Here is a 14,341-nt window from a genome sequence, read left to right as displayed (position 1 = left end):
GTAGAGGATCATTTCTAGGAGACATGAGGGGCCTTCTGGGAATGTAGTAATGTACTGTTTCTTGAGCTCAGTAATGACTACACTAGTGCATGATGACCTTGTGAAAATTTATCAAGCAGTTTAGTTAGGTTTTGTGTACTTTTCTGTATGCATGTTATACTATGAAAAATTCACACTTGGAAAGGTGAGAAAATTGCATTCTAAATATTTCTTATGAAACATCTATGAATTTGTTGCAAAATGCATTGAAACTCAAATAGACATAAACCCCATTGCCTAGGAAGAAGTGTGTATTTTATATTTTAGAAAATATAAAATAAAATAAATTGAGCCTAAATATAATCACATCTTTAGATCTAACTATTTATAGGAAACATAGGAGACAGAGGAACATGTTAAAAGATACCACCAGGATGTGATCAGTAAACTCCAGAATGAGAAAAATTCTATAGGACAAAAAGCCCAGTTTCTTTAATTAACAAACTGGGAGGATCAACAAAGGAAAAAAAAAAATAGAAATTAACTACCAAGTTGACCCTGACTGGATTCCAATCCAAACAAGGAGCTTTTTAAAAAAAGTGTATTCATAGTGCAATCACGGAAATATAAACACTTGTTGGAAATTAGATGAAATGAAGGAATTGTGAGGTTTTTTGGTGTGATGTGATAATAATGTAGTTATGCTGAAAAGGGGAATCTTTTCTTTTAGAAATGCAAAATGGGCCGGGCGCACTGACTCACGCCTGTAATCGCAGCACTCTGGGAGGTCAAGGCAGGAGAATCACCTGAGGTCAGGAGTTCAAGAACAGCCTGGCCAGCACGGTGAAACCCCGTCTCTACTAAAAATACAAAACAAAATCAGCCGGGGGTGGTGGCGCATGCCTGCGATCCCAGCTACTCAGGAGGCTAAGGCAGGAGAATCGCTTGAACCTGGGAGGCAGAGGTTGTCGTGATCCGAGATCGCACCACTGCACTCCAGCCTGGGTGACAGAGTGAGACTCTTTGTCTCTAAAAAAAAAAAAAAGGAAATGCAAAATGAAATATTAACACACAAAATAAATATATAGGATATACTTCAAAATAATAGGGGAAGGTGGGAAAGAGGAATAATAAGATTGGCCACCAGTGCAGAATACTGAAGGTGGGTGATGAGTATATGAGGGTTTAATCTTACCCTATAATTTAATATGTGTGATACTAGAAAAAATTTTATATTCTCTACTACCATATATATATATATAATATACATTTTTCCATAATAACAAGTTGTATTTTTTTGTTTGTTTGCTTTGTTTTGAGGCGGAGTCTCGCTCTGTTGCCCAGGCTGGAGGACACTGGCGCAATCTCGGCTCACTGCAACCTCGCCTCCCAGGTTCAAGAGATTCTCCTGCCTCAGCCTCCTGAGCAGCTGAATTACAGGTGCCCGCCACCACGCCTGGCTAATTCTTTTGTATTTTTAGTAGAAATGGGGTTTCACCCTGTTCTGTTGGCCAGGCTTGTCTCGAACTCCTGATCTCAAGTAATCCACCCGCCTTGGCCTCCCATAGTGCTAGGATTACAGGCGTGAGCCACCATGCCCAGCCCAACAAGTTTTTAAAATACTACAGATCCAATTTAAAGATAAACAATTTACTGTATAAGTGTCAGACAACCAAAACTGTCTTTCACACCAACAATACACCTCTTCATAATATAAATGGAAAATTTCTGAGTATTTTAGAAGAAATAATAGCCGAGCCTTTGGTTTAAATGAATACCCAAGATTTTTATTTTCCTGGAGAAGATAATTCTCAAAATCTTGACAGAATAAAAAGCCTGATGAGCAGCATTCTCATGACTTCAATCAACTGGTTTTAATGCCCTTGACAATAGACACAAATATAAATTTTAACTTAACGAGATGTGTATTTCTTGGCAGGAAGCTTTTCAAGTGTCTTCTTCCTTTTTTTTTTTTTTTTTTTCTTTCTGAGACAGGGTCTTGCTCTGTCACCCAGGCTGGAGTGCAATGGAACGATCACAGCTCACTGCAGCCTTGACCTAGCTCACTGCAGCCTCGACCTCCCTGGCTTAAGTGATCCTCCCACCTCAGTCAGCTGAGTAGCTGGGACTACAGGCATGCACCACCATACCCAGCTAATTTTGGTATTTTTTGTAGAGATGGGGTCTTGCTATGTTGCCCAGGCTGGTCTTGAACTCCTAGACTCAAGCCATCCTCCTGCCTCCCAAAGTGTTGGGATTACAGGCGTGAGCCACGCACGGTACCTGGCCTTCCTTTCCTGTTTTTAAACCTGAGAAAAGATGGTAACTCTGTGCTGGAAATATATTTGGAATATAAAATAACACAAATAATAGTCCAAAGATTGCTTGTCTTATAACACAGCCTACTTCTCTTCCAGCTATGTTGGTAGATGCTGGGGAAAAACAGCTAGGCTCAAGGTCCCTAACCACCCACCTTCTAAAAGGTGAGTTAGTCCTGCAAGAATGGCCATAATCAAAAAATTAAAAAAAAATAGATGTTGGTATGGATGTGGTAAAAAGGGAACACTTTTACATTGCTGGTGGGAATGTAAACTAGTACAACCATTATGGAAAACAGTGTGGAGATTCCTTAAAGAACTAGAAGTAGAATTACCATTTGATCCAGAAATCCCACTAGTGGGTATCTACCCAGAGAAAAACAAGTCATTATACCAAAAAGATACTTGCACGTGCATGTTTATAGCAGCACAATTCTCAACTGCAAAAATATGGAACCAGCCCAAATGCCCAACAATGAGTGGATAAAGAAACTGTGGCATATATATACACCATGGAATACTGCTCAGCCATAAAAAAAAATATGACATTCACAGCAATCTGGATGAAAATGAAGACCATTATTCTAAGTGAAATAACTTAGGAATGGAAAACCAAACATGGTATGCTCTCACTCATAAGTGGGAGCTAAGCTATGATGACACAAAGGCAAAAGAATGACACAATGGACTCTGAGGACTTGGGGGGAAAGGTGGGATGGGGGTGAGAAATAAAAGACTGCACAGTGGGTAGAGTGTACACTGCTTTGGGTGCACCAAAATCTCAAAAATCACCACTAAAGAACTTATTTATGTAATAACCAAACACTAACCGTTCCCCCAAAACCATCTGAAATAAATAAATAAATGAAGGTGAGTTAGTAATTGCTTAACCATTGTTTTACTTCTGGTTTTGGAAAAAACTGTCTTATTAATAATAAAATAACAGTATTAATATTTTGTCAGCAAAGGGGGAACCTATAATTCATCACCTTAACCCTTTTCTATTTTATTCATACACATATATAATACAGTGTACGTGTATGTGTACAATGCTGTATAGTATTCAGCTTTTTTTATCCTTACCCATTTTTAGGTCTTATCCATTTTTCTATAAGCTACACGATCTTGATAAATGTCACTTTGGTGTACTTAATTAAAACAATTTTATCTTTTTAAAAAATTGATCTAATTTAAATAATTTGAGAAATCCGCAATTTTCCTTTAAAACCTCTAAGTGTTACAAAGCCAGAGTTGTTACATAACTCATACAAAAGTTCCAAAGCAATTATTCTAAACATGCTCTGGTTTGGTTCAAAGTTCTCAAAGGTCTCACTGCTTATGTGAGATGAGCAGTGTCACTACTGGCCCTCTATTGTGGGCTAGCGACACAGAAGCAACCCACTGTGTGCTCACTTTGTTGAGACTGAGATGCAGGACCGTTCAACTGAAACCCTTAAAGAGGCTCTCTTTGAATTCCCTAAAGTGCTTTGGGGGTGGCTGAGATAACACAGGTTACCCCTGCAGTTCATCAGGCTAGAAGAATTGGTAAGCAGTAGGGTGGGCAACCATTCCCAACTTCACACTAGCCTCTCCACAGCCCATTCCAGCAATGCCTCAAAATGCCTCTACTTTTATAAACTCTTCCGTGGTGGGCCCAGCTAGGAGTGGTTTCTGCTTCCTTTGAAATTTGATAACCCTTTATTTCACCTTTTTTGGGACATACACTGTGTTGCCCACTAGACTTGCCCACAACAGTGAAATCAACGAAATGACTGGGCTGTAATTTGAATAAAGGGTCCATAACTGACTCAACTTTGTATCCTTCACAGTGCCTATTATGGTGCTAGGCACAGCAGGTCTTCAATTAATATTGAATACAAAAGTAGACTAGACTGGGAGCATGAGCCACTGGATGATATGCTTGGAATGGCACTCCATCTTGTAAGAGATGCTCTTATCAGCTGATAAGATTTCCTTTAACATTCTGCAATGCATTTGGTATAACATTTTTTAATTTTACTATTAATTATGTTATAGAAAATATTTACAGTTTGGGGCCAGGAGCAGTGGCTCACGCCTATAATCGCAGCACTCTGGGAGGCCGAGGCAGGCGGATCACCTGAGGTCAGGAGTTTGAGACCAGCCTGGCCAACATGGTGAAACCCCGTCTCTACTAAAAATACAAAAATTAGCCAGGTGTGGTGGCACACACCTGTAAACCCAGCTACTCAGGAGGCTGAGGCAGGAGAATCACTTGAACCTGAGAGGCAGAGGTTGCAGTGAGCCGAGATAGCGCCACTGCACTCCAGCCTGGGTGACAGAGTAAGACTCTTTCTCAAAAAAAAATAAAAAATAAAAAGACAGAAAAAGAAAATATTTACAGTTTGGAAATGGTCATGTTTTATTTTTATAAGAGCTTAATAATGAAAAAAGGCAAAATTCTTTATTGACAAAGTAATACCTGAAGTACTCACTGGCGGCATCATTCTACCCCTACCCATCTGTACTTTACTCTCTTTTTTGTAGGTGGATCTCCCTGGATCTGTCAAAAGCACCCCCAAACATCGCTTGGCCCTGTTTCACCCACTGTCGCACTTATTTCTTAGATGATATTACTGAACCCTGTCTACTGACAAAAACTAACCTCTGTGATATGAGTGGTATGCATCATTTTTTTAAAAGGAAATTTTTGCTTTCCAATTTAACTCAGAACACACTGGGTTAAGTGTGTTCTGTCTTCTTTTAAGCAGTATTTTCAGAGATTAAATTCTAAATTCTCATGTTCTTCAAACCTCAATAATTTCTCAGGACCAATGAGAAAACTGCCCAGATAGCCAAATGCCTGAAATTTTATCACTGACCCCGAAGAAAGGTTCTTTATAACTACTGTACAAATCATTGCTCATTGGAGGAGAGATATTACATATAATTCTAAGTACCGTTATACATAAAACATAAATTTATTCAAAGATGAAATTCAAAAATGAACTTTAGACTATTCTCATCACTGGCCTAGTCAGCTAGGTATGGAAGACTATTTGGATGTTTGAGCATACTGTGAATATTTCATCCACAGAATACGGGAGAGCTTTCAATAGAATGAGAGAGAGAAAAATCTATAGTCTAGAGAACAAAAGCTAAGAGTTTCAAGTTTTAGTGGCCATGTTTCCCATAGGGCTATTGTATAAGAAGAGTAATACTATATTTTTTCCTATTCACAGATGGAAAAGAGTAAAATTTTGCTTTATTTAAGCCCAATAGCAATAATCTTGCATGGGTTTCAGAAAAATGATACATATTTTACTGTGGGATAATGAGGACCATTAGTTATTAGAACAAATTATTCTCTTTCAATTCAAGAGCCTTATTCATTCACTCATTTAATAGGCTATCCTCTCTCCCTTTCACTAAAATGGTCTCCCCATACGGAACACCTGGCCATGCAACATGCCACCAGACAGACTTCAGGAGGTATCTTGATGGGGAGAAATAGAGAATTTCCAAAGTGAAGCCATAGGATAAACCAACACTTGATGCTTGCCTTTCATTTCAAGGAAAGTAGTATAAAAGCAATAGAGAAAGAAAAAAGTAGTTGAAAAATATACTTGCTCTCCACAAAAGAGTCTTAAAAATAAAAAATCATGAGCTTAATAATTTTCCTAAATGAAATTATGCCATTATTCCTGATTTCTTTGTACTAACTAAAAGGACAAAGTATCAAACTTCACTAAAGTTTCAATACTACAATACATTTCATTAATCAAAGATAAAAACTACATTAAAAGCAAGAGAATTATTTTATGTCTGTGATTAGGCAGTTGGAGGGCTTGTATTTTATGTATACATTTGTATACTTCAACTTATTTAACGGTGTCAGTTCACTAGCTGCAGTTTTTTTATATAAAGAAAACAGATTTAGAATTTTAAAAACAAATTACAGTAATTTTATGCCTACAGCTTGCACCTCTTAGAAACCACGTACCCCCTAACACTTCTCTTACTTTGCCACCACTTCCCCATCTCCCTCCCTCCTCCTAAATACACAGGCTACAGTAGAACTGATAACAGGGGCCTCGAAGCCCCTACTGAATAGCCACCCTAATTTTTTATTTGGGGTAGAGGAATAAAGGGTGCAGATAAGAAATTCAGCTCCTGAATAGAGCAGGAGGCTAATGCCTGCAGAGATCTGCCTGGTGAGCTTCAATGTTTTCTACAGATCTTCATGATGATGGGGACTTGTGGGCCTACACTTCATTAATGCTGAAACTCCTGGAAGGGGGCAGAAGGAAAGGACTACAAGATTTGTTACTAATATAGATGGCTGTGTATATACTGCTGGTGCAGGCACAGGGTAGGATGAGAGAAGAGGACAAGCAGGAGAGGAGGACTACACAATGATGACAACTTCACACATCCGCGATATAAAAACCACTGTCAAGTGGCAGAAGAAAAAAAATGAGAAAAAGTAGCCAAAAGTGAGGAGCAGTTGCAGATCCCTCAAGGCCGAGGACACATTCCCTCCCATCAGCTTGACTTGGCTACATGGCACCAAGAAGGGACTGCCCAGAAGAGTGTCCACACAGCCATGGCTGCACCTAGAGAATTTTCAGGTTGTGAGGCAGGAGTGATGGGTATATGGGTGGGACCGTGTGCAAGTCTGGAGGGTTCTCTGTGTAGATTGAGATTGGTCAATAATGAGATAAAACATGAAACTTCTGAAGATGGGACCCACTTGTCTACTACTGGCTTTGAAAATAATTTGTGAAAACTGAATTCATAAGGCAGCCTATGATACAGCAGCTGCAGTTATAATAAAGTATCTGTCAAGTCAAAATCTGCTACTGTTCAATTTATAAACAAAAATCATCTTAACTATGACTTCTGGAACTAACAAAATCAGTCTGGTCCCTCTTAGTATGTCTGGCCTTGACACATCCAGGCAGGCATCAGGCCAATCCACCCAAGCAGGCTCCATCACCCTTTATTGCTCAGCTCTTTTGCTGACATACAAGGCTACGCAAGTCCTTATCTTAAATGTCATTCATGAGACAAGGCTTGTTCCATCTACCTCCTCTCAGTGCTGGGTCACCAAAAAATTCAAAACCAAAGAAGAAAAGGGCAACAGTTTTACACCAGGTTTTTGAAGACACAAATGGAAAAACTCGGAGATCTACTCTTTAAAAAATGGTTTTACTCAGAGGTTTTCAGTGGAGAGCGGGGGGGAGTACAGTGAGAAATAGAGGGAGCAAGAAAAACATGAAGCCCCCCATGCTTATACATCTATGCCACCCTGCTCCTGGTTGAAAACATCTTTCATAGCCTTTTAGAGCTAAGAACAGGCAATCAAGTTTAGCACAGTAGTTAAGATCACAACCTTTGGAATCACAGCCGGCTACTTACTACCTATGTGCCAAGACCAAGATAGTTACCTCTCTAAACCTTGGCTTCTTCCTCTGTAAAATGGAGTTAATCCAACATACCTTTGTGAGGTTGTCACAAGGACTGAATGAGATAACAAATGCAAAGTACTTATCACTGTATCCAACAGAGCAAACGCTCAATGTATAGCAGAGAAAAAAGTGAAGCTAAAAAATACCTTGCTTTTACAGTCCTCTCTTCCCAGCTGAGGATTTATAAACATCATCAAATACAACTCATCTTGGAGAATACATATGATAATTTTGGTGGTAGAATTTTATCTTCCTAATATTTGCTTAGGCAAATGTTAAAAATGAGCTTCCACTTCCAGAGTAAACATTGACGGGGTAGTGACGATGGGGGTAGCAGGGAGGAGCTCAGAAACATACTGAACAGGTGCAGGACAGAAAATATGTGACTTGATAATTCACCGATGGAAAAGCCAGTCTCATTCTACAAACGTAGTTGAGCACTAAGTATATACAAATCTTACAGACTGAAGGAATATGAACATATTTCTACTGACGCCTAAAAGAAGGGTGGGAGGTGGCTACCACTCACGGAGTCCTTCCTTTGCCCGAGACCTTGTGCTGAACATCTCACACATATCATCTTATTTCTCCCTCAGAGTAACTCTATTCCATGACTCAAGGAGCTAAGGTGTAGACCAAGGTTCAGAAGCTTGTGAATAGCAGAACCAGCACTGAAACCCGGGTCCCTATGCTGTCAAAGCCCATGGCTAAAGCTAGATGTTTTAGTAAAAAGAGGGGGAGAATCTTCCATGAAGCAGGGACAGAATGGGCAGTGCCATATTTGGGAGACACTGCGTAGACTGAATAAGAAATAAGGCTGGATACATAGGTGGGAGCTGGAAAGTTAAGTCTATAATTGCCAAAGTTAAGAGTTTGTGAGATGCCAGTGGCACCTGGGCTTGACTTACAAATAGTGAGGAGCCATCTCAGGACATTAGGCAGTACTCTGAAAACACTCATCTTTGCTTACCACAGAAGAGAGAGGAAAGGCCTTAAAAGCAATGTAACTCTTTATGTACTTGGTCATCTAAAAATGAAATCAGGGCTGGTTATGAAATACATTTCTAAGCAAAAGATAACAAAAGTAATAATGACACAGCAACGGAGACAATCTGGTGACATAGCAAAAAGCCAAAGTAATACTGAGGTCTCAGGGTTGGCTGGTACCTCCTCGGATGATGATAACTTAGAAATCAGCCAATTCCTAGAGGATAACAGTGGGTCCATTTTTAGAATAACTTATAGAGTAGGATTCTCACAATGAATTGAATATTAAAAATTAAAAATTTCATGTTAAAAAGCCATGTTTTCTCATTTGACATGAAAATACCTTCAGCGACAGAGACAAGATGAACCAATAATCAAGATAGCATCAATCTCCTTATAAATGGAGGTACACTAATTAAAGCTATAACAATGTAAACTCGGTGACTGTAACGGCACCTGAAATCTTCACTTTACCCTTTCTTTTGCCTTCCCTCTCTTCCCTCAGTATTCAGTGAGTATCAACTATGAAGCAGGCATGTGGTTACAGTAGCAAGTATGTGGAGCTCATAGTCTATGAGTGGAGACAGTACCAAACAACCACAAAAATACATTCTAAACTATAAACAAAGAAGTGCCAGACACAATACCATGCCCATAAGCAGAGATCTCAAGAGACAAGGAAGACTACATGTGCCCCTGTTACCATGTGAGGTTCTATGTGAGCTTGGGACACTTACCCAACCACGTTGCAATGAGGACAGCATCAATTCCGTCTATTGGTTCACAGATCCGAGCCACGACTGGGTGGATCTGCTGGGCCAGGTAGTACTGGGTGTCAATGGTTAGATTATCCTGTTTCTGCAGCTGCTCAGGCGCATAGGCCCTCTGACTTGCAGTGAGGTTTGATCCATCCTAAAAGAAGATATGATAAAAAGACACGTAAAAAGAAGACACAGGTAAAGTTGTGAGCAACTCAATCACAGACACTTGCTTGGTCAAACAGAGAGGCAACAATTTAAATTTTATGTATCTACTTCTAAACATCAAGACCTCTTTTTGACCTATTGTTGAACATTTTGAGTAGGAAAATCAAGGACAACATCTCAATCTTGAGATCTCATCCAGTGTCCAAGAATATAAATCCAGTATATGTTGTGTTCTATTTTTTGCAAAAACTTGAAACCAACAAGATAGCAATGACCAGATTAAATAATTTCACCTGCCATATCACCAAACACTGAGAAGGCTTAGTAACAATTAGTGTAGCCAGAAAGGCTTTTTAAGGAGTGATAATTTAAAAACATGTGTATGGTCTTTTTTATTATGTTAATGTCATCCCTTCAGGCAAGAATTCTAGTCAAAGTAACTCAAAGATCCCGGGAGTAATATTTTCTATGAGAGCCATGTATCACTGAGAAGCAAATGAACAAGTGGAAAAGAGTGGGGAAATGAAATCTATAGAGTAGTAATTTATATGCAAGATACAGTAAGAAGTAAAAATGACGTAGTGTCCTAGCAGAGTGGCAGGGCTCTAAAAGCCAAATATCTGGCCACTGGAATGAAGGGCATGTCATTTGGTATCATTTACCTGGTTCCTCCTCAAGAAAAGGAAGATGGGTCAGAAAGCCTCTTTTCAAGGGTTTTCTCTTTTACTCTATAAAAATAAAAGCTGTGAAATTATATATAATTGGCCCATATCCAGCCTTGTGAATGATGTCACCATCATCTCTGAACCAAAAAGTTATCTCTACTGGATCAACATCCAACAACTCACTCACTCTTCCTCTCATCTGAAACAGAATTTAATATTCAAACTAGTAAGTTATAACTATTCACAGTGCTCAGCTGCTCAGCAGAACTGATTATAATGTGAATCCTATTCTTTCATTCCTGCTACAATCAGTCCCTTTCCAGCTCAGCACCCAGCCCAAAGCAGAGGCAACCTTCCACACACCACTGTCTTTACCAGAGACCAGAGGCAGGGGCCTCTTTTTCTGGCTAGGCTCCTGATGAAAACAACCTGGGCCTGTTTATCAACCAGGTTCTACCTGTTCTAAGACAAAATGAAATACCTAAAAAGGAAGCAAACTCAGATTAAAAGACTTATTATTATTTGTCAGGAGTTTACAACATAGTAAAAGGAATTAGGCATAATTAATCAAGTTTAATTCTTGCTCTTTCAGAAGCTTGAATTGTTAAGATGATAATAAGGTGACAACCAATGATAAAAACCACGTGAAAAAATCCTCCGGCAGTGTCTTTTCACACAACTCAATTGTATTTAGACTGCCTTTTACCAAACACATAAAATCTGAACAATTTACGGAATTATGAAAAATTGGTCTACCCTTAAGATTACAGCAATGTTGAGTTTAACAATTTTTAATGGTGAATTAAAATAGAATTTATACATGTAAAATATTTTTTAAAGGCACCTGCCTTTAAAAATATTAGAGTTACTTTCTAATATTTCAGTAGTTCTCATAGTAAAGCATGGTTTTCAAAAAAGCAGTTGAAAACTTTCTGAGCATGCTTTCAGTTTAAAACGTTTTTATTCTAAATATTCACACAAAAGACTAGTTTTAACAAAAAGTGACACAAACATATTTCTTAGGGTATTTTAAAAATCTAAGCTCGAACATGGCTAAATTCAAAAGACTTGGTTAGATGACAGGTTTTGCTATGTCGTATTGGAAAAACATTTAGGCTATGACCTAAGATACATCCTTCGGCTGGACACAGTGGCTCATGCCTGTAATCCCAGTACTTGGAGAGGCTGAGCCAGAAGGATCACTTGAGCCCAGGAGTTCAACACCAGCTTGGGTGACACAGTGAGACCCCCATTTTTTTTTTTGACCAAAAAAAAAAAAAAAAAAAAGTTAGCCAGGCATGGAGGCATGCATCTGTGGTCCCAGCTACTCAGGAGGCTAAAGTGGGAGGATCATTTGAGCCTGGGAGATAAAGGCTGCAGTTAGCTGTGGTCATGCCACTGCACTCTTGCCTGAGTGACAGAGCGAGACCCTGTCTCAAAATTAAAAAAAAATAATAATAACCTTCAAAGATTTCATTCTCAAACCTGAGCAGGGCCCCATGGTATGTGCAAGAATACGTGGCATACATCTTTAAGAACAGATTAAGAAGCAACGCTGGTCTTCTTCAAGTGCCCATGTAGTAATTTGTGAACTTCACAAAGTACATACTTCAGAGAGACAACCAGGTGCAGTCGATTCATACAAAACTAGGTAGTCATCGTTAGTAGGAAACTAATGGGAAAATATTTTAAACTGGAGACAAGTGGGCCCCTTAAAATAATTATGTTAAAGGCATGCCTTATGGAAATTATGTCTAATGAAAGTTAAATAGTTATGGATTTAAAACCTAGCCAACAAATGGAAGTTGATTTAAGATCTGAGCAAATAATTCACATAGGTTTAATGCGCTAACAACCTACAATATAAATTACATACCAAAAACATTACTCTCTGAACCCATCTGAATAAGTTATCAGTAGGGTACTATTTCCTAAACGTAAATTTTAAACAAAACAAAACAAAACCTGTTTAGGATATAGGCTATTCTTGGAGGACACCCTTGCTTAAGGCAGCAAACAGTCCTCTTAAAAATGTGTCATGATGGGCCAGGAGCAGTGGCTCACGCCTGTAATCCCAGCACTTTGGGAGACTGAGGCAGGAGGATCACGTGAGGTCAGGAGTTTGAGACCAGATTGGTCAACATGGTGAAATCCCATTTCTACTAAAAATACAAAAAAATTAGCTGGGCATGGTGGCGCGTGCCTGTAATCCCAGCTACTCAGAAGGCTGAGGCAGGAGAATCGCTTGAACCCAGGAGGTGGAGGTTGCAGTGAGCTGAGATGGTGCCACGGCACTCCAGCCTGGGCAACAGAGCGAGACTCCATCTCAAAAAAAAAAAAAAAAGTGTCATGATACATTTTCAAAAGCATATTCTAAAAATATGGCTGCATTATGAAACAGAATAATTTGAGTGCTTAAAAGCAAAAAATTTAGGCAGATTTGGCTAGCAAACAGGTTGAAAGGGAGCATGTCCCATGGGTAGGGTACAAAGGCAAATTAAAGTCCTATAGGTTTTCTTGGGATATGTTAAGGAGAATAAGTTAATAAAAAGAAATATGAATCATACTTTTAAAAAGCAAATAAGGCACATACCAGTGGATGGAAATTGCTAAAAATACATAAAATTGGATGTACTGTACTACATTAGCAACAGCATTTTGAGCCTATGCATATCAATAAGACCTGAGAAAAAGGAACCTTAACACCTAACATTCAGACATCAAGGGACACAAAACAGACTTTTAAATACAATGATCATCCTATTTTATAAGTTACCACACATCTTCATTGCAGGTTTGGCCAAAACACAATTGTGGCTTGATTTCATTATTAATGCTATTTCACTGAACCTATATAATTTTTCAAAGTTGTATGCTGCCATCTGTTCTTCTCATCACCAATCTAAGAGCTTTTCCATGTATGTGAAGACATAAGTGAAAAAAAAAAACCTAGCCTATTTACCAAAATCTTTATTTGCATAATATGAAAATTGTTTTTTTGAGATGAGACTTGTCAGAGGCAATATGCAAAGCACATTAAGGGCTTGAGCGAGTCAGACATTTATGGAAATATTTTCCTGCAGGAATTGGCTTTCTGTAACAGTTCTTAATCAAGGGTAACCCTAGGGGGGAGACAGAGTCAAGTGCTGATTCCTGTCCACGTACTTAAATCATTTGTTATGTACATCCACAGCATATAGCAGGTATCAGCAGACTACTTTTAAATTTTCAAAAGACTCTGATTTAAAAACACATTGATTGTGGTTTGACAAATATCAATCATATTGCAATTACTTTTTAGGTTTATGTAAAACATTTTTTTACTGTAACAACACAATGCAATAACAATTAGGATAAAACTTAATTTCTTTAAAAAAGTTTTATTCAGATAAATTATACCTTATGGTAAGTAGTCTATACCATTGTAATTTGAAAGAATTTGGATAAATGCTATGACCCTGACTTATCTTTACAGATAGAAGGGATGAGACCTCTCCTTTGTTAAAATAGTTAAGGGCTTCGAAAGTCAAAAAACTGCTCTTCTCTCTTACTCTCTCTCCTCACCCATTATAGGCATGCTATTATCAAAAGAACTGGTAGTGGCTTAAAACTGTGTTCCAGAAGGCCTAGAGGTACCTTGTGAAACGGAGAAGGAAGGGTAAGGAGGTGGGCCCTCTCCACTTGAAGGAAGAAAAAAAAAAAAACTGGTTGAATTGTGTGGTTTCCTCATAGGGTATGTTCATAGGATCTCTCAACTTCTCCGTATAATCATGTAGTTCATATTTTTTCACATAATTATTTGGACATTTGCTAGGGAAAAAATGGCATTTATTCTTTTATTATTCCACTGATATTTATAATGGGAACTGCTGCAAAAGGAAAGAGATAAATGAGGACTACTGCTGAACATATGGCGAAACTTACATTTGCATTAAAGTTAATTTAGGGTTAAAAGAGTAGCTACTGTTACAAATCTGTCATAAATGTTTTATGAAAATCCTAATGACATATGCCAC

At 38.5% G+C, this 14,341-nt stretch overlaps 1 protein-coding gene across 14 annotated transcripts in view; it reads right to left on the bottom strand.

The window, feature by feature from the left end:
• Nucleotides 1–14,341, bottom strand: part of POLA1 (DNA polymerase alpha 1, catalytic subunit) — a 303,069-nt gene that overhangs the window by 160,914 nt on the left and 127,814 nt on the right. For 13 of the 14 annotated variants that reach the window (NR_165483.1, NR_165482.1, NM_001440806.1 and 10 more), the window contains one exon: nt 9,472–9,646. Coding sequence is in view for 12 of the 14 variants with exons in the window: in NM_001440806.1 (NP_001427735.1) it covers nt 9,472–9,646 (175 nt within the window). In the remaining 2 variants the exon portion in view is untranslated. The other variant, XM_024452392.2, reaches the window with a different exon arrangement.

Source organism: Homo sapiens, chromosome X (genome assembly GCF_000001405.40).
Source record: "Homo sapiens chromosome X, GRCh38.p14 Primary Assembly".
Lineage (NCBI taxonomy): Eukaryota > Metazoa > Chordata > Mammalia > Primates > Hominidae > Homo > Homo sapiens.
The sequence above is the reverse complement of the archived record's forward strand: the minus strand, read 5'-3'. Positions and strand labels throughout refer to the sequence as shown.